This window comes from Homo sapiens, chromosome 7 (genome assembly GCF_000001405.40).
Source record: "Homo sapiens chromosome 7, GRCh38.p14 Primary Assembly".
Taxonomy (NCBI): domain Eukaryota; kingdom Metazoa; phylum Chordata; class Mammalia; order Primates; family Hominidae; genus Homo; species Homo sapiens.
This window is the reverse complement of record NC_000007.14, coordinates 44091168-44114659: the sequence shown is the minus strand read 5'-3', so window position 1 is coordinate 44114659 and position 23492 is coordinate 44091168. Positions and strand designations below refer to the sequence as shown.

Here is a 23492-nt window from a genome sequence, read left to right as displayed (position 1 = left end):
GGGACTCCTGCAGGGGTGCCCACAGTGACCATAGCCCATGCACCCACCAGCCGGTCTCCCTCCTCCCCATCCCTGACACCTCAGAATGTGAGCAGTCCGTGCCATGAGCTTGTTTTATTGGAGTGACCTTGGCTCCCTCCCTCTGCCCCTACTCCAACACTGCAGCAACCCCATCTCTTACGAGACTGGCAGGTGGAGCAGGAGCCTCTACACAGCCTCTGGCTCTTAGGTCCCAGTCATGTTTGCACCCCCTCAAAGGGGCAGGACCAGCCCTTCCTTTCAGTGTCCATACCAGGGGCCTTCCATGTGCTGATGGGTGATGTGACTGTGGTCAGCAGGCTTGGGAAGTGCTGCTGCTGTAGCTTGAGTTGGGCTGGGGTCTTGGTAGGACGCTGATCTCAGAAGTCCCCAAAGTTCACTGTGTAGGTCTCTACTGTTGTGAAGGGGAATGCCTGGCCAGTGGCTATCTCCTCCTCTTTCTCCTCCTCCTCCTCTTCCTCAAACTCGGGTTCCAGCTGGGTCTCAAACTCAGGCTCCAACTGGGTCTCAAACTCGGGCTCCACCTTGGTCCCAAACTCGGGCTCCACCTCGGTCCCAAACTCTGTCACCACCTCTGTGTAGGTCTCAGTCTCCGACTCCTCCCAGCCAGCGGTGGTTGGCGGTATGAGGCCCCAGGGCTCTATGGTAGTGCTCAGGGTGGTGGCAGGGGCAGGGGGCAGCGTGGGAGGCACAGTGTGGGGGCCTAGGGTGGTGGTGGCGTTGAGGCGCCGCAGCCGCATCTGTGCCCGAAGCCGCAGGCGGTGTTGTAGGCGTCGCTGCTGCAGGCGTCGCTGTTGGGGGGTCATAGGGCGCGATGGGTCTATGTGTGGGATAGGCCGGTTCCCGTTCATGGCCATGATCTCCCGGATGCGCTTCCAGTTGGAGCGAGCCAGGATGAAGTTGCACTGAGTGGCCCCGATGTCATAGTCAACATTGCAGGTCTTGGCGCTCGGGGTGTAGCCCTCCGCGTGGGCTGTCACGCGGTACTCACCCGGGTTCAAGATTCGCCAGTAATCACCACCACTGGCTGCGGAGGGAGAACGATCCGGCTGCCCCAGAGCGCCCCTCCCAGGCCCCCACCCTCCCACTCAGTCCTGCCCCCAGCCCCGCCCTCCCCCTCTGAGTTCCCGCCCCCAGCACCGCCCTCCCTCTCTGAATTTCGCCCCCAGGCTCCCCAGACTCTACCTGCTCGCTGAGTTCCTCAAGCCCCCACCCTCTCTGGCGGGTCCTCCCTCAGAAAGATGGGGTAAAGGTGTGCACACTAGGTACCTGTCTTCACGCCGTGATTAATGCCACTCACAGAGATGGTGGCGTTGGCAATGGGGATGCCTTGCTCGTCCGTCACCACCCCCTTAATGCCGCGGTGCACCTAGGGAAGCAGGTGAGGGCTGCTGGTCCTCAGGAAGGTCCAATGTGGTCCGCTGCTCCCTCCCGCCCATCCAGGAGCCTGTGCAGCCTCCTCTCCCCAGGCATTGCCCTAGCCACCCCACCTGCTCCATGAAGGTGAGCAGCGCCTCCTTGTTGTTCTCCCACTCGCGGGGCAGCTCACTCTCATGAGGGAACTTGTCACAGCCCAGGTAGAAGGAGAGCTCCAGGCAGTTGGTATGCAGGTAACTGAAGTCATTGATAGCTGGCCGGGGACAGATACAGACCCAAAGTCAGCCCCTCTCCGGACCAGGCCCCGCCCACAGCCCCTCCCAGGCTGACTCACTCCCGGTCCGGGGGTTCCACTTGGCCCCGTTGACGATGCCCATGCCGCCGGTGTAGTCCTGGGCTTGGCAGCCTCCGCGGTAGGGCTCGGTCAAGGTGAGGTGTGCGGAGGCGAAGGAGATGGCAAGCCACCGGAAGATGGCGTGGTCTGGAGTCTCCTGGGCCTCGGAGACCTCGTCCTCATCCTCCCCCCGGGCTGCTGCCATGGCTGCGGCCAGCAGCTGCTCCTGGGTAGGCGTGCGGGCCATATCGTAGGGGTAGGATACTAGCCGCTCGCCGCCGTTCAGATTTGCTCCCAGCACGAAGGGGTTCTTCTCCATCCAGGCAATGATGGCCCGGACCTCCGTGGATACCTGGAGTGGCCAGCACGTGTGAGGCCAGGGCTGCAGCTCCGGCCACTATCCCCAACCTAGCCCGATCACCCTCCATGAAGCTTCACACCAGTACTCGCACGATCCCCTGTCCCCCAACCCCCAGAGCCTCAGCGTCTGGAGTTCAGGCACCGTCAGCCCCACCCCCAAGCCCAGAACACCAGGACCCCAGGGTCCAGCTGCTCCCTCCTGCCCTTTCAGCCAGGCTGTAGCCTCACCGTGGCATCTGGCGAAAGGTAGCGTTCAGGGATGGGCAAGTTATTGTTGGGGACCCGGTAGGGGACCCATTTCCTCTCCTCAGCTCCCCAGAGCACAGAGTTGAGATCCGGGAAATCTTCAAAGATGTCAAAGCCCTCCTCAGTCCACAGTCCCAGCGCCCAGTTCCCAAACTCTGAGCCCTGTGGGGAGCCAGCAGGGTAGGCATCGGCTACCCACACCCCCACAACCCCCAGCTGCCTGGACCCTGGCCAGCCTCACCCTTCAACCCACCATCTGCGCTGCCACCTCGTAGCCATCAGGGTTCAGTGAGGGCACCAGGTGGATGCGTGTGTCCTGCACCAGGCTGCGCACACGTGGGTTCCCATCGCGGTACTCTCGGCACAGGTACTGCATGAGCAGCAGCAACAGCTCTCGGCCCAGCACCTCGTTGCCATGGATCCCAGCAGTGTAGCGGAACTCGGGCTCCCCTGCAAGGGCGGGAGCCTCAGTGAGCACTCAGTCTCCCGAGGCCCAGGGCAGCTGAGGAAGGACCCAGACCCACCTCATACCCGAGGGTCTGGGGGACAGCTGGGGCTCCTAGGGCCCTGTAAGACAAGCCAGAATCCCCAGAGAGGCTCCGGAACAGGCGGGAGGCAGTGAGCTCTGCACATCAGCAGCAGAGGCCAGCTGCTGGCCCCCACAGACCCTCACCCAGTTCATGCTCCCCAGGGTTGTCTGAGATCTCCATGGCATAGATCTTGAGGCCTCGTGAGCTCTTGCCCAGGCTGTAAGTGCGGGTGATGGTGGGGCACTCCTCGTTCACCACCTTCATGAGCTGGGGCAGAGGGGGAGGACGTGGAATCAATCATGCAATCCGTCCCCCGCTGACCATGCCCCTTCCACTTCCAGGGCCTGCTCTATGGCGAGGGACGGGCATGACCCCTTCACGCAGCCCCCAGGTACTGGCCTCCTTCCTAAGGTGAGGGACAGCCAGCATCCCTGGAACCAGTAGGGACTGGGCCCAGTGACAGAAGCACCAGGCACACACTCCCGTCAGCCACAGACAGGTCCCACCCCCAGCCCCAGGATATATGCTCCCAACCTGGCGCATGTCCTTGTAGCTGTGGTGCCGGAAATCCAGGTCATCGGTGGCCACCACCTCATTCTGTGCGTAGTAGCTGTAGACAGCTGCAAGGGAGGCGGGGTTGTCTTTAGCTGGGTGCCGGCTGGCCCACCCTAGCACCCCACCTCCACTCAGAGCCCCTGCCAGCCCTCCACACTCACGGGCCACAGAGCACCCCAGCACCTCCAGGCGCATGCACAGGCTGCCATTCCAGGTGAGTGGGTAGATGCGGATGAAACGAGCCACCACCGGCTCTGGGAGCTCACTCAGCACGGGTGTGTCCTTGTCCACGTTCCCATGAAAGGTCTGGGGAGAGGCAGGCCTCAGAGCAGTACTGCCAGCCCCTCTGAGAGCCCACCCCTCGCCCAGACAATGGGAGCAGAGCCAAGAGCCTGGGCATGGTGCCCACCATTTCCTCATAGCCGTTGGTGTACATCACCCATGTCTGGCTGTCATTGCTGAAGCCCACGAAGAAGGTGGTCACAAAATCGTCACTGTGGAGTGGACAGTGGTCAGAGCAAGGGTCTTCCCCCTCCCAGGCCCTCAGGTGGCCTGAGCCTCCCTCTTCCGAGCCCCAAGAATTTAAGAGCTAGCAGGGTGGTGCTGCACGGCCCAGGTGTTGAGCCTGGGTCCTATGCCCGTCACATAGCCATGGGCAGGTGATCTGTCCCTAAACTCATGTGCTATCAGGACACAGGGGCTGACTGACCAGGCTGAGGAGTGGGGATGGGCAGGGTGAGTCCCTCACTGATCTTTTTGGCCTTCTTTGGCTGGGCCAAAGAAGGGCCCACTGGAATCTCCTTAATGGGACACAGAGCCATGCCTATGTAGCCACTCCCCTCTGCCAACTATCCATGAGCCTGGCCACGCACTGGATGCTGGAGTCTCTGCCCTGGGTGATGACGCCTGTGAACCGGGTAGTCCTCCTGGTGTCCACCTCTATCCACTGGGTCCTGGCATCGTCCTCGGCACACCACGCACCATCATAGTAGTCGTCCTCAGTGGCACCGGTCTGTCCAGGGGGCAGGGGAGGCTGAGCATGGGCGGAGGAGTCCCTTATCCCAGTTGGGAGATGGGCCCATCCCAATGCCCACCTGCATGTTGAGCCGGCCGCGCTGTGCCCCCAGGCCGTGGCGCAGCATGGAGGAGGCTCGGATCTGGTTGTCCTCAATACGGTGTGACTCCATCCCAATGGGGGGACACTCTGAGGACGCGTACCCCAGAATGGTGGCTCACTAGCTCCATCCTTCCCTCCACCAAACCCAGAACCAAGGAGCCCAGAGCCCACTCCCGGCACATCGGGGGCACAGTCAGAGGGCAGCTCTGGTCAGCTGGTGGCTCCCTGGTGCCCTGCACCAGCCCACCTGGAATCGACTCAAAGCCAGGCCAGGAGCTGTTTCCAATCCCAGCCTGTGCTTCCCCTCCCTGGGCCTCAGCTGCCCCATCTGGAGAACGGGCTGACCATGCCCAGCTCTCAGGGGACACACGTGAAATCACAGGTAGAGCTCCCCCAGGGCGCAGCCACAGATGTCATCCAGATGGGGACCGTCTGCACAATGGCCCTGCAGGGATACCTGTGAAGGTACCTGAGGTCCTCACTCCCCACCAAGGCCCCAGGTCCTCCCCCTACCACGCCCAGCCACTAGGGGCCCTGGGGAGCTGCCACCCTCCTGAAGCAGGCCAGCCTGGGGTCCAGGGCTGGGGCAGCCAAGCGAGGCTATCCTGGGCTCCCGGGGCCCCTCCCTTCTGGGTCCCAAGAATCTGAGTAGGAAAGGGTTCCGGGGACCTGGGTCCTGTTTGTGACATTGGGCCAGTCACTTGTCCCAGCACCCCCATCCTGTGGCCCCCACCCTCACCCCCTTGTGCCCCCCACTTACTGACTTTCTCCGTAGGCGTCCACTCCTCCTCCAACTCCTCGCCCTTTCGGGGCTCTAGGGACAATGAAGGGAGGACATGGCACCAAGGGCCCGGGAGGCAATCAGGAGTCCAGATGCTGCCCCACAGGGACCCAGGCCCCAAGCCCCAGCCACACACCTTTGTGGTCCTTGCCCTTCTCCACTGCCCACTTGTCGGTCTCCTCCTTGGGGCTGCTGTCCTCCTTTTTGGGTTTCTCTGGAAGGTGCAAGGTAGGAGGGGCCAGTCAGCCTGGCTCTGGGCTTTGAGGACCATGTGGGGTGGATCAGGCAGGCCCCAGGTGGCCTTCAGGGCAGGCCTGGTGTGGGAAGTCCTTGGTCCCACTCACTCAGCTCCTCCTTCTCTTCGTCTGTCTGGCGCTCAGCATCGGGCTTCTGGGGCGGAGGAGGCCCAAAGTAATAGTCCACTATGGGGAGGGAGAGCCAGCTGAGGCTGCCCTGACCCTGCTGCGGGGCCTCAGCTCCTGGGTCCACAGGAGCTCAGCAGGACAGGACCGCGCCAGAGGGGAGGAGGACGGGAGATGGGGGACAGCTGAGTTGGGAGAGGGTCTTGCAGGAGTCAGGAGCAGCCCGAGCTCAGGGGCAGCTGAGCAAGACCCTGCTGAAGTCACCAGCCCGGCCTTCCAGGAGCATCTGGCCTGGGGAAAGGACTCGAGGCCCAGGGCATGGGAAAGGCCTGGAGGGACAACTGGCACCTGTGCCTGGGGTTGCGGGCTGGGGGGTGAGATGGGGAGACATTGGAGGCACTGATGGGGACCTGGGGGCAGGGAAATGGCGATGCACGGGCTGCCACCCAGGAGGAAAGGGAACCTGAGGGCTCCAGGGACGCAGGGGCATGAGCAACAGGGAGGCAAAAGCCCTCGGGCTCCCTGAAGAGAGTGGGGCAGTGGCCACGAGCCAGCGGGAAGCCAGTTAGAGCACAGGACTGGGAGGGCTGGAACCCACATGGGTGACAGGGCAGAGTGTGTGCCTAGGGACACCCCTGTGGGGGTCACAGCCAAGCAGGAACCAGGGAAGCGGCCAAGGAAAGACCAGCCTGAGGGCAGAGGAGACAGGGCAGTGGCTGGGGTGGGCACGCAGGGACAGCAGGGACAGCGAGGTAACCACGGGCACAGGTGGGGTTGCAAGGTGGGTGAGTTGCCCCAGCTGGCTCCTGACCACACCCCAGCCCCGACCCCCACCTGCCTATGTCCCTCAGACTCTGGGGTGCTGGGTACTCACTGTCATCGTAGTTGGGGATCACGTAACCATCACCATAGTCAGGGGGCAGCGGGGGCAGCAGAGGCTTCACAGGAGGCTCTGGGGAGGCGGGGAGGTTAGGAGGGGGCCAGAGCGCCGTGGCCATGGCACCTCCTCTCCTGCCCCCCATCCTACCAATCCTCTCCTCCGGGGCTGGGGCCGGGGCCTTCTCCTCAGGGGGCTCTGGCCAGACCCGCTCGGGCCTCCTCCTTCTGCTTGGGGGTGGCCTGGGTTGCTTCTGGCGCCGAATGTACTCAACTGAGGGGGAGGCTGGCTCAGAGTGGGGCCCAAGGCTGGGATGGGCCCATTGGCACATCCCCCAGGCCAGGGGTCCGACCCAGGTGGGGCTGGCAGGACCCTACTCACAGTCCTCATAGTCCTCCCTCTCGATCTGGTCATTGTAGTCCAGTGTGGGTTGCTCGGTCTCCTCCTCCGGCTCTGAGGGGAAAGCGCTGGTAGCTGCCTGACAACCCCACCCAGGCCTACTCTGGGGAAGCCCTCAGTCCAACCAGCCAGGGCAGCTGGCCCCAAGGCCAGGCGGATGACGGCCACTCACCAGGCTGGTGCTCCCGTGCCTCCACATGGGTCTCCTCTCCTGGATTCTGCCAGTTATTTGAGAGGGGCGCCCCTGCAACACAGGAGTTCCAGAAGCAGGTGGGCGGGAGGCCTGCTCTGACCACCTTGGGAGCCTCAGGCCACCAGCCACCCATAGAGCCCACACAGAGCCTGTGGACACCCTCCTGAGGCCGAGCTCACTCCAAGGAGGCCTGAGCTCCTCTGGCCTTCAGCATCCTGCTGGCATCTCATGGGGCCAGAGAGCTGGGCCCACCTTCTGGGGAACCTACTGTGCTGCTGGAGGCCCTACCACAAAGCTGTCCCCAGCGGGAGAAGGCAGGAGGGAACTCCATGGGCTCAGAGCCCAGGGACATCTGGGCAGGGGCCTGAGGGACAGAGGTCCCACCCAAAAGGCTGCCAAGCCCTCTCCCTACCCAAAAGAGGCTACAGCACTGAGGGAGCCCACCAATCAAATTGTGAAATTTATAGCAAAAGTGAGGTTCCCATCCAGTGGGGAGCTGAAGGTCTATAGGAAGCAGGGCCCCAGAAACCTGCCTCCCACTCCCTGCCTCCACCCGAGCAGGCAGTCAGAGCCCCATCACCCCAGAGGAGCCCGGCACAAACCTCCCTCCTGGGGTAGCTCCTCGGGGCCAGGGCTGGGGGGTGGGGGCAGTGGCCACTCCAGGGTTTCTGAGGGAGCCAGAATGGGGGGCCTCTTCCCTGACGGGGGCTTCTTGGTGGCCTTGGGTGGCTTCTCTTTGGGCTTCTTGGTGGCCTTGGGTGGCTTCTCCTTGGGCTTCTTGGTGGCCTTAGGTGGCTTCTCCTTGGGCTTCTTGGTGGCCTTGGGTGGCTTCTCCTTCCCCTTCTTGGGCGGCCTGGGGGACCCCTCCAAGGACTCCTTGGGCACCTTGGGGCCTTTGTCTTTCTTGCCTTTCTTCCCTTTGTCTTTGGTCTTTTCCGGAGGCACTGTCCAAGATGCAGACTCGTGTCAAATGAACAGAGCCAGCTCTGTGCCCCCATGAGGCCCCTCTCTAGATGCCCAGAACCTGGGCACAGGGACTCTTGTCAGTTCCCAGTGCGGATCAGCAAACTGAGAGGTTAAGTCATTTGCCCAAGTGGCAAACTGGGATCCGGACCCAGATTTTCTGTCTGCAAGTCTGGGGCTGTGACCACCAATCTCAACCTCTCTAAAGACTGAGCGTAGGGTTCCCAGTTCCCAGGGGGAGGCCCTCATCCCCCCACCTGCCAAAACCTCAATAGGGGTTCCTTACTATCCACTCCTCCACTATTCTGTTCTGGGCACAGAAGGGGCAGAGAGGTGACTGAGCCATCCAGGCCTGGAGGAGCATCTGGTCATCCCTGCCAACTGCCATACAAAGGAAGGGACATGGGCCCAAGACCTTCCCCTGGTCTCCTACGGGGCAAGAAAAGCTTCAAAGAAAAGGGACACTTGGTTGAGTATTGAAGCCCAAAGAAGAGGAAGTGGTCTCCTTTCGAGAAGTAAGGGGTTTGGAATTGATTGGAAGGATAGGGAGTCCTGGGGGGTTCAGGGATCACACAGAGGACAGAAAAGACAGGTAGGGAGCTTGTGGCTGCACACTCATTTCAGAGTCTGGGAGAGGGAGCAGGGACTGGTTGTGAGGATTCCCCATGGGAATCCTCCCAGGACCCTAAGCAGGAGCTGCAAGTGCTGTTGAGAACCTGATGAGAGGTGGGGAGCATGAGGGAAGTTTGGCAGAAACACAGGAAAGCTACCAAATGCAGACAGCCAGGGGACGCAGGGCTGCTAGAGCGGTGCCCCAGAGCCAGGAGAGCAAGCCTGGAAGGAGAGCCAGAGGCAGGAGGGGCACAGGCAGCCCAGGGTGTGGGAAGCAGCCAGGAAAGATCTAGAGCTGGGGTGGCAGGGGAGGGGCTGCTGACATCAGGAATGTTGGATGGTGCCTTGGAATCTCCTGGGAGACAGGGATCACAAGACCCTCTGCCACCTTCCAGAGGGCCACGATGAAAACAGCTAAGATTTACTGACAACTGATTATGCAAGAGGCCGTGGGTTAAATGCTTCAGTGATGCATCACCTCATCTAATTTCCTGTACTAATGTAGGACCACCCATTGCTCACCACCACCTGAAGCCCTGTGCTCACCACCACCTGAAACTCTCTCACCTACGTGAGACCTCCTGGAGTAGGAGGGCAAAGGCAGGAGGGAGGGACGACGTGAAGCTGTGCCACCAACAGGGAGAGTGGTCCCATTAGTATGGCAGGGGGTGACACAGCACAGTCCCCTGTGGCTCAAGCCTAGTACCTGTCGCGTACTGGAGGAATGGGGATAAGCGACCCGTACAACCACAGCACCAACCCTAGAGCCACCGGCCCCCAAAAGCGGCCCTGCCGCCCGGGTGCTGGATGTGCCTCCACGCCAGCGCTGACCTCGGCCTAGCACAGGGTCCCTCCAGGCATCTGGGCTCGCGTGCGCATTAGTAAGCCAGCCATTCCTCCCCTAGCAGACTGGGGAGTGGCCAGACCCTACCGAATCCCCCTGTTCCCACCTGAGATGCCAGCCCCCCACACCCCCGCCCTGCCCTGGGCTCTTACCTTCTGCGGCCGTCCCTGGCCGCTTCCCTGGCTTGCCCCCCGCCTGGGCTTTTCGGACCCGCGGGGTGGGCTCGGGAGGCGGCGGGGCCTCCACGTCGTCCTCCCGGGGCTCAGGTTCTAGCTCTGACAGGAAGCCCTCGAGGAACTCCTCGATCTCGTCGTCGGTCAGCACCGTCTGCGGGCGCCCTCCAGGGCACAGGGCCAGCAACGCCAGGAGGCAGCTGAGCAGGGGCGCCCCGCGCACGGCCGCCATGGCCGCGGCACGCGCGGGGGGCTCCGGGGAGGGCGCGGGGGGTCAGGGGCTCTGGGTCTCTGGGAAAGGGCGGAGAGGGGATCGAGACGGGTGAGGGAATCCAGGAAGGGGCGGGAGAGAGGATGGGGTGAGCGAGGGAATCCGGGAAAGGGAGGGAGAGTGGATTAGGGTGGGCGAGGGGACCCGGGAAGGGGTGCTGGGGGGCTCCGAAGCCAGAGGGGCTCAGGGGTGGTCGGGGCGCTCCGAGGTCCTGGCGGCTAATAGGCGCTCCGGCCCCGCGTGGCGCACTCCCGCGCGGATAGCCGTCTCCAAAGCGCTGGCGGGGCCCGGGGCGGGGGCGCCGGGGCTTCCGGAGCCGGCTCCCCACCCCCGGGGAGGAGGAGGAGGAAGAGAAGGAGGAGCCGAGAGTGGACGGAGGGGCTGCGGGGGGGCGGGGGGCGGGGGGCGGGGGGCTAGGGGCGGGGCAGGCGGGCGGGCGCTGGCGGCGAGCGTCCCAAGCCCGGAGACTTGCGCCTAGGACAGAGGGGCAGGGGGCGGGGCGACTGGGAAGACAGAGGGCCTGAGGGAAGGAAAGGTGGTGGGGAGGGCCTGGGGTGCGGGTCTGAGGGGGCCGACATCCCTCCTCCTTCTGCCCTAGGCACCCCCCTTAAGGCGGGACCCCGAGTCCACCGGGGCTCTGAGCCCTCCGCGGGTGACCAGGAACCCTGGACGGAAAGCCGTGGTGTCAGGCCTCTGAGACCTCTCTCAATTCGGAGGGCCACAGAAAGGCCACCCCATCCTTCCCAGGCTCTGGAGCCTCTGCCCATGGGCCCTGCTGCATCCCAGCGTCAATTCATTCAGTCATCCTACCAACCTCTTCAGGTCGGTGTGGGGCCGGGCCCCGTGCTGGGCCCCAGGGAGGGACAGCACAGTGGGAACTCACTTTCCAGCCAGGAGGCAGGTGCAAAACTGCCCTCAGAGTGGCCAGCTGCCCCGCTGGGGGTAGGAGTCCCATGTAAGGGCATGCCATCCCTCCCCTCCGGGTCCCAACGTGGACAAATAGCCATTTATCACCTTCTTCTTACCAGAACTCATTTTTTAAAAAGTGTCTACCATACCTCCAGCTGCCACATGGACCCAGAGGGCCCAGAGGACCCAGAAGGCAGGTGGATTGAGTGTCAACTGATCCCAGGATCCATCAGGGATGTGCACCTTGGTGCCTGGTGTTTGCCATAAGGCTTCTCCAGGGCAAATGTTGGCTGCCCTACAACGGCCATCAACAGGCAGAGTGGTCCCATTAGTATGGCAGGGCGTGACACAGCACAGTCCCCCGTGACTCAAGCCTAGTCCCTGTCTCATACTGGAGGAATGGGGAGCTAAGGACAGAGCTCCGAGGACATTCCCCCTTAAAGGAATGAGGACACAAGAGAAAGCTCACAGGTAGTCCATGGGCCAAGTGCAGAGGCAGACAGCCCTAAGCCACGATTGTCTGCGGGGTTTGGCCCCAGTGAAGTAGTCAGGTAGGGAAGCCTAGGAGCCCCTGGGATGATTGACAGGGCAGAGTTTGGACCTGGGGTCAAAAGGAAAGAGGAAAAGTGGGTCAGGAAGCACCTGGGTCCCCAGAGCAGCCCCGAGTGAGTTGGAGCAGGCAGCAGCCGGGGAGGCCACAGTGGAGGCTGCTGGGCCTGGGATACATGCCACCCCCTGGGAGCAGGACCACAAGGAGGCCTTGCCTCCTCTCACACCTGGTCCTGCCAAGACCCTGCCTTTGCTTTCTCACTGCATCTCCTTGAAAAAGCAGTGGGACTGTGTCAGGTTCTGGCTCTACCTCCCAGGCACCACATCTCGGCAGGTAGCCTCAGTGCCGTCCACCTGTGTCCCTGTTCTCCTTGTCGTTCATACAGGATCATGCATGTGCTGTGCCTAGCACACATTCTTGGCACTCACACTGCTGCCTTTTAGCTCTCATCATTTGCCCTCAGAGATCAACCTGAGCTGTGCCCACTGGGGCGCTCAGAGCAGACCCTGAGCCCCAACACCCAGGCTCCCTGTGCACCTGAGCCTGCCTCTGCCTGCCACGTGCCCCCAGGCCAGTCCTGGTGGCAGCAAGGATCCGCAAGCTCTCCCCTTTCCTCATCCTCTGCAAAGCTCTGAATCATCTTTCTCAAAACTTGTTCTGGGAATTTGCTCCGTTGCCCCAGTTGAGCATGTCAAGCCCGGCGGCCCAAGGCTGGGGTGAAGCAGCGTGGCACGTCACTTCCCTGGGAACAACTCACACATGGATTGGATTTGGGTCCAACATCCTCTGCCAGGGAAAATAGAAGCCATAAGAAAACAAAAAAGGAACAGAAGGAGGCTTTTCTTCAGTCACAGCGAGTCACCAACAAAAACATGTGCAAAAGCTCTCATGGAGAGCTGGGCCACAAGGAGGGCCATGATGTTGGGGGCCCTCTGACACCAAGGGTGTGGGCAGGTGGATGGGAGGCAGCTGCCCTCCATGCCAGGCTGATGTGCCTCCCTTTGGGTGGTGGGGCTGGGACTCCCACTCCACTTGAAGACCTGCACCAAAAAGTCCTTTAGCCCTGTGCCCAGGCTCTGCCACGGGGCCGGTGAGGGGACTTCTCCCCTCTGCTGCCAGAGTGAAGCCAGTCAGGGGGATGGGAGGCTTGTAGCCAAGAGCACCTAGTGGCTTTCAGGGTCCCTTACCCCTGCCACTTAGCAGGGTCTGCACCTGCATCCAAGTGTTCTCCTGGGCTACAGTGGGGGGCTGGTAGACACTCTGGTGATCCACTTTCAGCTTCCCACATGGATGTGGCAGGGACTGCTTTGGCATTTCCCTACCCCAAGGGACAGCCACTGCGGCAGGACTGGGCTGGGGAGGGTGGGGCCTGCGCTGGGGAGGGTGCCCCCTGTCCCTTGCTGCTGCTGGAATGGGAAGGAGAGTTGTTGAGAGAGCCAGAACTGTCCAAGGGTGGAAGCTGGCGAAACTGACCTGCAGGGAACAGGGAGACAGGGAGCATGGCCCAGTGAGTAGGTCCTATGTAGCTCTGAGGCCATCAACCCTGCCATGAGGGCTGAGACCCCAAGAGAGAAGTTGAGGTTGGGTCAGGGGCCTGTTAGTGCCAGCTGAGGAGGGGGACAGGCCAGCCTCCTCCCACTGGGACCCAAGCTATAGCTCCTGAGCCTCCAGAGCTGCCTGGTGCCTCAACCTGGTCAGAGGTGGAAACTCACCTGCCAGCAGGCCCAGTGTGCCTGAGTTCTGACTGTGGGGATCTGCAGGGCACAGAAGGATAAGAGGTCATCAGGGCCTGGGGACAGGCAGGAGTGGCAGGGTCTGGGAGGCTGGGAGCAGACCCTCCCAACCTGCCCCATGGCCTCTGTGGCCCCCAGGACCCCCATGGCAGCAGCTCAGACACGGGTTGTGCCTCAGAAGGAAGTGAAGCTGTGTGTACCGAGATGGCCCAGCAAACCCTTTGTATGTAAACTTCCGCCACAGCCCAGCTGTCCAGCACCAGCATGTGTATCTGGGGGAGGGGGATAAATAGAAGGTCTGGGAGGCCTGGGATCTGGCCAGCAGGCTACTGGGATCACAGATGCCAGCCCCTCCATATCTCCCCTTGAGTCCTGGATCTGCCTCCTGGGACCAAAGGGGAAAGGACCAGGCTAGGCTCCTTCCTTTTTGTTCTTCCCTCTTGGGGGAGGCTCCTAGAAACTCCCCCTTCTCTGCCGCCCAAGTGCCTGGATATTACCAGTGGGGTTAGCCTGTTTGGGCCCACAAGATGGGATGGCTCCCAGAGCCATGGGACCTGAGGTCTCCCAGACAGTGTCTAGCCACCCTCACAACTGGCAGAACAATTTCCTTGGTTTTCAACAACTTGAAAAACATATGTGATTTTCCACAGTCCGGTGCTTCTCAGGCCTGGCTGCTGAGTGAGCAGAGTTCATGCTGAATTCCTTCCACTCACCACAGGGCAGACAGCAAGCCCAGCTGTGGGGACTCGGTTGGGGTGGGGGTCACCACAGCAAGGCGCGGGGAGTGGGGAGGGGGGCAGGCTTCCAGCACTGATGAGTAATTCTGCTGCCCGAAGATCTGGGAAGAGGGCATGTGACAACTTAGTGCAACAATCTGCCCAGTGTTAGGTCAGAAGGAAGGAGAGGTCGTTCAAAATGGAGTCTGGTGGAAAAAATAATGTTTGGCCCCACCTCATACCTCCCTCAAAATTAACTCCAGATTAATGAGGTAGATGTTAGAAGAGGAACCAGGGAAGGACTACAAGAAAATATGGAGTCTTTATTTACATTGTGAGGTTTTCTTTAGGTTTTGTTTGTTTTTGTTTTTGATATGGAGTCTCACTCTGTCACCCAGGCTGGAGTGCAGTGGTGCGATCCCGGCTAACTGCAACCTCCGCCTCCCAGGTTCAAGAGATTCTCCTGCCTCAGCCTCCCAAGTATCTGGGGATTACAGGCACATGCCACCATGCCCGGCTTTTTTTTTTTTTTTTTTTTTTTTGTATTTTTAGTAGAGATGGGGTTTCACCATGTTGACCAGGCAGATCTCAAACTCCTGACCTCAAGTGATCCACCCGCCTCAGCCTCCCAAAGTGCTGGGCGCCCGGCATGTGTGCCCAGCCTATATTGACATTCTTGATGGAGAAGTCTCTTAAGGAAGGACAGAGAAGTTTGGTTGCATAAAAGTTTTTACCTTCTGTACATCAAAATATACTGAAAATGAAAATAAAGAGCAAACAAAATACTGAGAAAGAATGCAGTGCTTAGAGAGCGAACATTCCTGGCCTCCTGTAGTTTTAGGAAGCAGCTGTGGCCTCAGACCCATCTGCTGTGAACCTCTACTCCATATTTATTGCACTTTCTGTCTGTGAGCGTCGGTTTCTCTCCTCTATAACAATAGGATAATAATGACACTACCATGCCTTGCAAAAATGCTACAAGGGTTCACTGAGATAAATCTGGAGAGTCATGCCTGAAAAATAGTAAGTCGTTGATAAAGGGAAGCTGCTATTAATAAATAAAGCTTTTTCTTTTTTTTTTTTTTGAGATGGAATCTCACTCTGGCGCCTAGGCTGGAGTGCAGTGATGCAATCTTGGCTCACTGCAACCTCCGCCTCCTGTGTTCAAGCAATCCTCCTACTTCAGCATCCTCAGTAGCTGGGACTACAGGTGCGCACCACCATGCCCGGCTAGTTTTTTACATTTTTAAAGCTATTAATAGGCCAGCCACAGTGGCTCATGCCTATAATCCCAGCACTTTGGGAAGCTGAGGCAGGTGGATCACCTGGGGTCAGGAGTTCAAGACCAGCCTGGCCAACATGGTGAAACCCCGCCTCTACGAAAAATACAAAAATTAGCCATGTGTGGTGGCACATGCCTGTAATCCCAGCTACTCGGGAGGCTGAGGCAGGAGAATCACTTGAACCTGGGAGGCAGAGGTTGCAGTGAGCCGAAATCATGCCATTGCACTCCAGCCTGGGCAACAAAGCAAGACTCTGTCTCAAAATAAATAAATAAATAATAAAGCTATTAATAATTTTACTTTGTTTCCACTTTTAAAAGTGAGCTGAGAGAAATAAATAGGTGATTCACAAAAGAAGATACATAAGTGGCCAATAAATAGATACAAAAATGTTTAGCTTCATTAAAAGTTATAAAAATGTAAATAAAATATACTGAGTACAACTTTTTCTATATCCGTTTCTCAAAGATTAAAAACCTTCCAGTGTAGGTGTTACTGGGAGATCACCCTCTGAAAGCAACTAGTGGCAAGGAGCTCCACACCATTCAGGCATCTCATTCAAGGTCACATGGCTGCAAAGAAGAGAAGCCCATCAAAGCAGCTGAGCCCCAGTAAGGCATCCCACCATGCATTCGTAGAAAAACCAACGGAACAATGACTAAAATAAGATAGAAATTTATTTCTTGCCAGGTGTAGTGGCTCATGTCTGTAATCCCAGCGCTTTGGGAGGCCAAGATGGGAGAATTGCTTGAGCCCAGGAGTTTGAGACCAGCCTGGGCAACATAGTGAGACTCTGTCACTACAAAAAAATTAAAAGTTAGCTGGGCATGGTGGCACACGCTTGTAGTCCTAGCTACTCAGAAGGCTGAGGCAGGAGGATCACCCGAGCCCAAGAGTTCAAGGCTGCAGTGAGCTATGATTGCAACACTCCACTCCATCCTAGACAACAGAGCAAGATCCTGTCTCTATTGTAGACAACAGAGCAAGACCCTGTCTCTAAAAATAATAATATTTTAAAGGAAATGTATTTCTTGCTCATATAAACAAAATCCAAAGGTAAGCATCTGGCTTTCCATTTTGTTGCTTACCTAGCCTCAATGTATGACTTCTATCTTGTGATACAAAATATTCACTTGAGATCCAGCCATCATTGCATCATCCTGGCCAGCAGAAAGGAGGAAAGGGAATAGTAGAACACAATCTATTCCTTTAAAAACACTTTCTAGGGCTGGGCATGGTTGCTCATGCCTGTAATCCCAGCATTTTGGGAGGCCAAGGCAGGCAGATCACTTGAGGTTAGGATTTTGAGACCAGCCTGGCCAACATGGTGAAACCCTGTCTCCACTAAAAATATAAAAATTCGCCAGGCATGGTGGCAGACGCCTGTAATCCCAGCTACTGGGGAGGCTGAGTAAGGCAGGAGAATCACTTGTTTTTATGTCTGGTAATAGTACTAAAGTATAGGAAGGTGTAAAAAAACAATCAGTGTCTGGTAAAGAGAGATGTAAAAGCTGGAAAGCAGGAAAATACAAGAATAAAAAACCAATCATGGATCATGGCATCAGCAGTATCGTGGCCAGTTTCTGTGTGAGGTATTCACGTTATTGCCTGTTTGTCTGTGGGCCCCATCAGAAGCCCAGCCAAGGAAAAGGAGAGGTGGGCAGCCAGCTGCTTGAGAGGAAGGGGCTCCCAGCAGGCACCCACACCCAGCACCCCAGCTCCTGCCATTAGAGGGAGTACCAGAATGCTCCCAAGGCCACTGTGGACCCAGAGTTTTTTGTGCTATAAAAATGTGTACCTGCCCAGTGTCTATCTCTGACCTCATCTTTAACTGCCAAGCTTCTCAAAGGAGATGTTCACATTCAAAGTTTCCACTTCCTCAGTCCCAGGCAGCTGTTTCTGCACCTGGCACTCTGACTAGGGCCCCAGGGATCACCCAAGACCAACGGGCCTTGCCAGCCACTGCAGCTCCCTTTGTGACCTCCTCCCCCTGCCAAGGTTAGGGTTAGGGTTAGAATTAGGGTTAGGGTTGCTCACACTTCCAGGCTGGCTTCTCTTCCTCCTCCCCCGCTTCCCTGGTGGGGATCCCAGGGGTGGCACCTCTCTCTTCTCACTCTTCCTTCTCTCCCTGGGAGCTGGATGAACCCCTGCTGCAGAGATCCCCACCTGCCAATGATTCCGACATCTCCACCTCTAGCCTGGACCGTGTGTAGCTGCCCTGTCGCCACAAGCATCCGCAGGCCTCCCACACACCTGGGGGTTTCGTTTCTCTTCACACCTCCAGTTCACCACCCACAGGCCACCCCTGAGGGCCTGGAGGGCTCCCTGTGTTCCTCAAGGAGGAAATCCCACCCTCTGTGTGGCCCCTAAGACCCTGCACCCTCTCCACCTTCCCCTCCTCCCTCCAGCCCTGGGGTGAGCCTGGAACCCCGAGGCTCTTACACCTCACTTCTGGGCCTTAGCAATGCTCGTTCCTTCTCACTCCGTAACATGGCTGACCCTCGCCCACAGCAGGCCTGCCCCCCTGCCCCTTCTTTAAAATCACCCACTCATAGTCCTACAGGAAAACACCTTCCCAAAGGGTGAGGAAGTCAGACTCAGTTACTGTGTCCATAAGGTTGGAGCTCACTATCTAGGACCTAAAAAGAACTTGCATTCTGGGAGATCACCGTTCCCTGTGCATCCAAGATAGGCCCTCAGCCCTCCTGGGAGGATATGGCCGTGGCCTGGGGACAGGGAAGAGGGCCATCTCCTGGTAGAAGCACTTCCTAAGGTCAACAAGCATCCAGTGCATGCATTGACCATGAGGATGCCTTGCTCAAGCAGCAAACATTCAGAGATGTGTGCAGGGAGCAGGTGCATCCCTGGAGGGCAGGCACAGACTGCACAAGGAGGGGCACACTGTGGGGGCTGGGGCCGGGCACGTGTGAGGCCTGGGAAGGTGAGCAGGGCCTTAGAGGCCACCTTGAGCTTGGGTTCCAACTTGTGGGCAGAGGGAGGAGTGGAGTGGCCTGCGCTGAGAAGAGGGTGGGACCAACTGGGGCCGATGCTGGGGCAGAGCCCACAAGACCTGGACCCCGGAGCTGAGGAAGAAGCCAGTGAGGCGTCTGGTTGGGAATGGGTGGGTGGGGATCCAAGAGAGGCCCAAAGAAGAGCAGTCACAGGAGTGAGGCGAGGTGGACCTGTTTGGGGCCTGCCTGCAACAGTTTGTCACACATTCCCCGAAACTCTGATGGGGGTGGGGTTGTGACCCCAGCCCATCCAAGTTTGATGGAAGAATCAGAGGTGAGGCAGTGCCCCCCACTTTTTCCTATCCCCACCCCTTGAGGGGCCACTGTGCCCTACCCTTATCACTCCCCATCCTCAAATGAGTTTGTGCTATTGGGACCTGCAGGGTCACAGGCACATATACCCTGTGCGCCTGCGTGGCTGCAGGTGCCCAGCACTGGGCTGGACGCCTGGTCATGCTGCTGACTTCCCTGCAGGGTCTGAATCCTGGCTGTGACCTGCCAGAGTAGGCTCTGCCAGGAGCAAAGCATTTTCCCCACTGTGGGATTCAAGCCTCACTTCTGCCTGCCTCCACTGATGGCCACACTGAGCTGCACCCCTCCAAGCTGGTGGGACCTTGGGCTCAGAATTCCCACCTAGCAGAAGCCCCTCTGTGGCCCATGCTGCTCATGGCCACTGACTGTGGGTCTGTTGACTCCTCTTCCTTTTTAAAAATTCTTTGTAGAAAAATAAGAAAACACAGGCAAAATAACAAAAACCATTATGATAAGTTCCATTAAACTCCACTGTCCCACCTCCCAGAGAGAACAATCACAGTTTGTTACATAACCTTCCAGACATTGTTTTGGAGGCACATAGACCTGGAGAAGCCTGATGGAAGCAGCCTGGGTTCACACCCCAACACTGCTGTTCACCAGCTGTGCAACCTTGGGCAAGTTGCTTGCCCCTTCTGTGTCTCCATCTCCTCCTCAGCAAGATGGGGACATCAGTGTCATCCCCTGACATGAGAGTCCTGGGCATCAAAGAGTTGACATGTGTCAAGTGCTTAGAATAGTCTGGCAGAGAGCACGGAGCAAGTCTTGGCCTCATGCATTTGCTTAAAAAACACTTTATTATGGAAAATTTCAAATATGCAAAAGCAAAAAGATGACATCCTGAGCTGCTTGCCCTGTCACCCACTCCTGCAGTTCAACTCTCAGCCCATCTTGTGTTATCTGTGTTCCACCCTTGCCTCCTCTCCAAGATAAGTTTGAAGCAAATCCCAGACATCATATGATTTCACCAGGAAATACTTTGTTGTGCATTTCTCAAAAGAGGCCTCTGTCCCTACCCGCCTCCCCTTCCCTCTCTCCCTCTCTCTTCTCTCTTAACCTACTATCACTTGTGCAAATCTCAACCATAATTCCTTAATATCCAATATCCAGAGTGCACATTTCCTTTATTGCTTCACACATTTTATTTTTTACAGTTTGTTTGTTTGTTTGAATTAGGATCCAAGAAAGGCCCAGGTGCTGTGATTGATCCATCTCTTAAATCTGTTTTAGCCTACAGGCTCTGTCTCAATCTCTCTCTCTCTCTCTCTCTCTCTCTCTCGTTCTGGCAACTTATTTATTGAAACTAGACTGTTTGTCCTTTGGAGTTTCCCGTGGTCTGGATTTTGCTGATTGCATTCTGTGCTAAATATTTTAAACTTAAATGAAATGATTATATTTTGTGTGTGTGTGTGAACTCAGTCCAAGAACTCAGAATGCCAGAAATGCAACTTACTTTTTCCTTGAGTGGTTTCATTTCCATTTTGAGCACCCCGTTCCACCACAATCATGTGGGGTTCCTTCTTCCCTTTTCCCAGGTCTTCCAGAGCACCAGGAAGGGAGATCGGGGTTGGGGCTGGAGCATCTGGTCCTGGAGGTCACCTGCATACTCAGGCACCTGGCCAGTCATCCAGATCTGACTGCAGAGCCACCATTAGTAACCAAAAGATGCCCAGGTGGTACAGAGGGTCCAATTTGGCATCTGTCAGTTCACTCTGAGTTTGCACATCCACCCTTTGCAGGAGCCTCATTATTTTTATTTTACAAATAAGGAAATTGGGGTTTGGGTTGGTGAGGTGACTTGAATAACAGATGACAGAAGCCAAGCAGCACATTCAAGAAGCTAGAAGATTGGCTGGGCGCGGTGGCTCACGCCTGTAATCCCAGCACTTTGGGAAGCTGAGGTGGGCGGATCACCTGAGGTCGGGAGTTCGAGACCAGGCTGACCAACATGGAGAAACCCCATCTCTACTAAAAATATAAAATTAGCCGGGCGTGGCAGCACATGCCTGTAACCCCAGCTACTTGGGAGGCTGAGGCAGGAGAATTGCTTGAACCCGGGAGGCGGAGGTTGCGATGAGCCGAGATCACGCCATTGCGCTCCAGCCTGGGTGGGCAACAAGAGCGAAACTCCGTCTCAAGAAAAAAAGAGAAAAAGAGGTTAGAAGGAGTGCCATGCTCCTAAGGACACCTCAAGGGCAGGAGGCTCCTTCCAGCCCCCATCTAACAGCAGAACTGTCTGGTCAAGCCTCCAGGGACCAGTCACTTCTCAGTCCTTGTCTTAGGTGACCCATCAAACATCTGATACAGTTGCTTACACCTTCCTCTTTAGAAGCCTTTCCACTTGGTCTGTAAGACTCCAACCTGACCCAGGTTTCCCCCCGCCCCTCTCAGTCTCCATCCTCTAAATTTCTGGGAGGCCCTGGGCTCAGTTCTTGCACATCCTCTGCAGGGCACCCCTCCTTTGGTGACCTCCTTGCCCCTGACAATCCCCTGTTTATAGCTGCAGTCCACACCACTCCCGTGGCGCTGGCCTCTTCTGTCAAATTGGATCCTGTGTTAGTCTGTTTTGCACTCCAATAAGGGAATATCTGAGGCTGGGTAATTTATAAAGAAAAGAGGTTTATTTGGCTCATGGTTCCACAGGCTGTACAGGAAGCAAGGAGCCAGTATCTGCTTCTGATGAGGCCTCAGGAAGCTTCCACTCGTGGCAGAAGGCAAAGGGGGAGCAGGCACATTACATGGCTAGACAGGAAGCAAGAGAGAGAGGAGGAAGTTCCAGGCTCTTAAACAAACAGATCTGTTTAGAGTGAGAGCTCATTACCCCAATGGGGAGGGCACTTCATGAGGATCCACCCCCATGACCCACACACCTCTCACCAGGCCCCACTTCCAACACTGGGGATCACATTTCAACATGAGACCTGAAGGGGACAAACATGCAAACCAGGTCGGATCCTCAACGTCTTCCCTTGATTTCTAGAGAGGTCTCGGGGTCACCTGTTTAGAGCCACACTCCTAAGCCTCCACAAAGGTGGCCCCATCTCAGAATGTGGTAACTCCAGCCTTTCCCCTGCCAGAGTCAATCCTCGCCTCTTTCTCTCTCACAGTCAGAAGCCAGCATTCCTTACCTGGTCTCATCACCGTCCACACTCACCTGAGTCAGTGCAGTAGCCTCTTAGAGGGGCTTCCCTGCCCTGGCCCTGGCCCCTACTGTTAAAGCTGATTGGGGGCTGGGCTCATGCCTGTAATCCCAGCACTTTGGGAGGCCAAGATAGGCAGATTGCTTGAGCCTGGGCACCATGGTGAAACCCCGTCTCTACAAAAAATACAAAAATTAGCTGGGTGTGGTGGCACATGCCTGTAGTCCTAGCTGTATGAGAGACTGAGGTGGGAAGATCACTTGAGCCCAGGAGTTCGAGGCTGCAGTGAGCTGAGATTGCACCACTGCACTCCAACCTGGGTGAAAAAGCCAGACCCTGTCTCAAAAATCAAAAACAAAAACTGAGTGGAATAACACCTGCCTCTGCTCAGAGCCTCCCCATCACAGTCCTTTCAGTGGCTTGTGGGGCACCCCAAGATCTGGCCCCACTTTTCAGCTGCTCAGGCTCCTTGTTCTTCCTTAAACCTGCCAGGCCCAGCCTTGGTCACTGAGGATGTTCTTTCCTTCCTCCATGAAGTCACTGCTCAAATGTCATCTTCTTGGTGAGCCCTGGGCACTCCCTCCCCTTGCCTGACTTTGGATCTACCCATGCACTTGGCCGTTCTCACCACTGTTTCAGTGATCCATGGCTGTGTAACAAACCTCCCCAAAATGGAATGGCTTCAAACAGCAGTGAGAGAGCATTCCTCACGATTCTGTGAATTGGCTGCTCCACACGGTGTCAGCTGGGGTCTCCCATGCAATGATGGTCAGCAGGGAGCTGGACTCAGTGCTGGCTGTCACCTGGGCACCTCGGTCCTCTGTCCACGTGGCCTCTCAGCACCCACAGACCAGACCAGCTTTTTCACATGGCAGTAGCTTCCAAGAGGCAAAAGTGGAAGCTGCAAGCCCTTGCAAGGTTAAGCCCACAAGTGCCAAGATGTCATTTCTGCTATATTCTGTTGGCCAAAGCAAGTCCCAGAGCCAGCCCAGAATCAAGGGGAGGCCTAACCCCATCTCTTGCTGGGGGAAGCATCAAAGTCACTCTGCGGAAGGGTCACAGATGGAAGGGACTCCTGCAGCCATGTTTGCTATAACCAACCATACCCAGCATAGGCCATGTCCTCCCTAGGGAATTGTCTGTCCTGCCCCACAGGAATGTCATGAGGCAGGGGTTTCTGTATGTCTTATCTGCTATACCTCCTGCACTTAGAAGAAAGCCAGGCACACAACACACCTTTTTGTTTGTTTGTTTGTTCTTGAGACAAAGTCCCACTCTGTCGCCCAGGCTGGAGTGCAGTGGTGTGAACTCGGCTCACTGCAACTCCGCCTCCCGGGCTCAAGCAATTCTCGTGCCTGAGCCTCCCGAGTAGCTGGGATTACAGATATGTACCACTACACCTGGCTAATTTTTGTATTTTTAGTAGAGATGGGGTTTTGCCATGTTGGCCAGGCTGGTCTCAAACTCCTGGCCTCATGTGATCAGCCCCCTTTGGCCTCCCAAAGTGCTGGGATTACAGGGGTGAGCCACCGCGCCTCAACACACTTCTGTTGGGTGAATGGTTAGGAGGATGGCTCTGTGGTCAAATATCCACTGTTGAAATCACATTTCTGCCTCTTATGCGTGTGACTACTTTGGCAACATTATTTTAGCTCAAAATCTCAGTTTCCCTATCTGTAAGATAGAAAAAAATGACAGTAGTGCCAATTCCATATAATTGGAAAAAGAACAAAAATACAGCATAAAAAATAATTAGCACAGTCCTTGGCCTATTTCTCGCCCTCCATAAATGTTAGCAGCTGTCA

General features: G+C 57.1%; 1 protein-coding gene and 1 non-coding gene across 3 annotated transcripts, besides 4 other annotated features; both read right to left on the bottom strand.

Annotated features, from left to right (window-relative positions):
- Positions 100–10315, bottom strand: AEBP1 (AE binding protein 1). 2 transcript variants are annotated; one of them, NM_001129.5, is made up of 21 exons: positions 9742–10315; positions 7773–8114; positions 7150–7221; positions 6960–7031; positions 6729–6851; positions 6576–6653; positions 5684–5761; positions 5476–5553; positions 5319–5372; positions 4536–4645; positions 4314–4453; positions 3851–3935; positions 3603–3747; positions 3421–3506; positions 3030–3153; positions 2610–2806; positions 2339–2518; positions 1751–2102; positions 1530–1669; positions 1309–1408; positions 100–1066 (listed from the first exon to the last, which is right to left on the bottom strand). In NM_001129.5, exons 1-21 carry the CDS (start codon positions 9992–9994, stop codon positions 399–401), a joined length of 3477 nt encoding a protein of 1158 aa, NP_001120.3. In that variant the 5' UTR covers positions 9995–10315; the 3' UTR covers positions 100–398. The 2 variants fall into 2 exon arrangements, with proteins under 2 accessions (NP_001120.3, XP_011513464.1); XM_011515162.2 differs by lacking the exon at positions 5684–5761.
- MIR4649 (microRNA 4649) lies at positions 3748–3811 on the bottom strand. Its single transcript, NR_039792.2, has one exon. It is a non-coding gene; the product is annotated as a microRNA 4649 (primary transcript).
- Positions 12861–13360: an enhancer, noted in NCBI's record as "H3K4me1 hESC enhancer chr7:44140899-44141398 (GRCh37/hg19 assembly coordinates)". NCBI's record gives its function as "activates a minimal SCP1, AML or CMV promoter by ChIP-STARR-seq in naive H9 embryonic stem cells {active_cell/tissue: H9 hESC(naive)}" and the evidence as "EXISTENCE:reporter gene assay evidence [ECO:0000049][PMID:30033119]".
- Positions 13361–13862: an enhancer, noted in NCBI's record as "H3K4me1 hESC enhancer chr7:44140397-44140898 (GRCh37/hg19 assembly coordinates)". NCBI's record gives its function as "activates a minimal SCP1, AML or CMV promoter by ChIP-STARR-seq in naive and primed H9 embryonic stem cells {active_cell/tissue: H9 hESC(naive and primed)}" and the evidence as "EXISTENCE:reporter gene assay evidence [ECO:0000049][PMID:30033119]".
- Positions 16951–17030: an enhancer, noted in NCBI's record as "active region_25931". NCBI's record gives its function as "activates an Ori minimal core promoter by ATAC-STARR-seq in GM12878 lymphoblastoid cells {active_cell/tissue: GM12878}" and the evidence as "EXISTENCE:reporter gene assay evidence [ECO:0000049][PMID:35858748]".
- Positions 17231–17520: an enhancer, noted in NCBI's record as "active region_25930". NCBI's record gives its function as "activates an Ori minimal core promoter by ATAC-STARR-seq in GM12878 lymphoblastoid cells {active_cell/tissue: GM12878}" and the evidence as "EXISTENCE:reporter gene assay evidence [ECO:0000049][PMID:35858748]".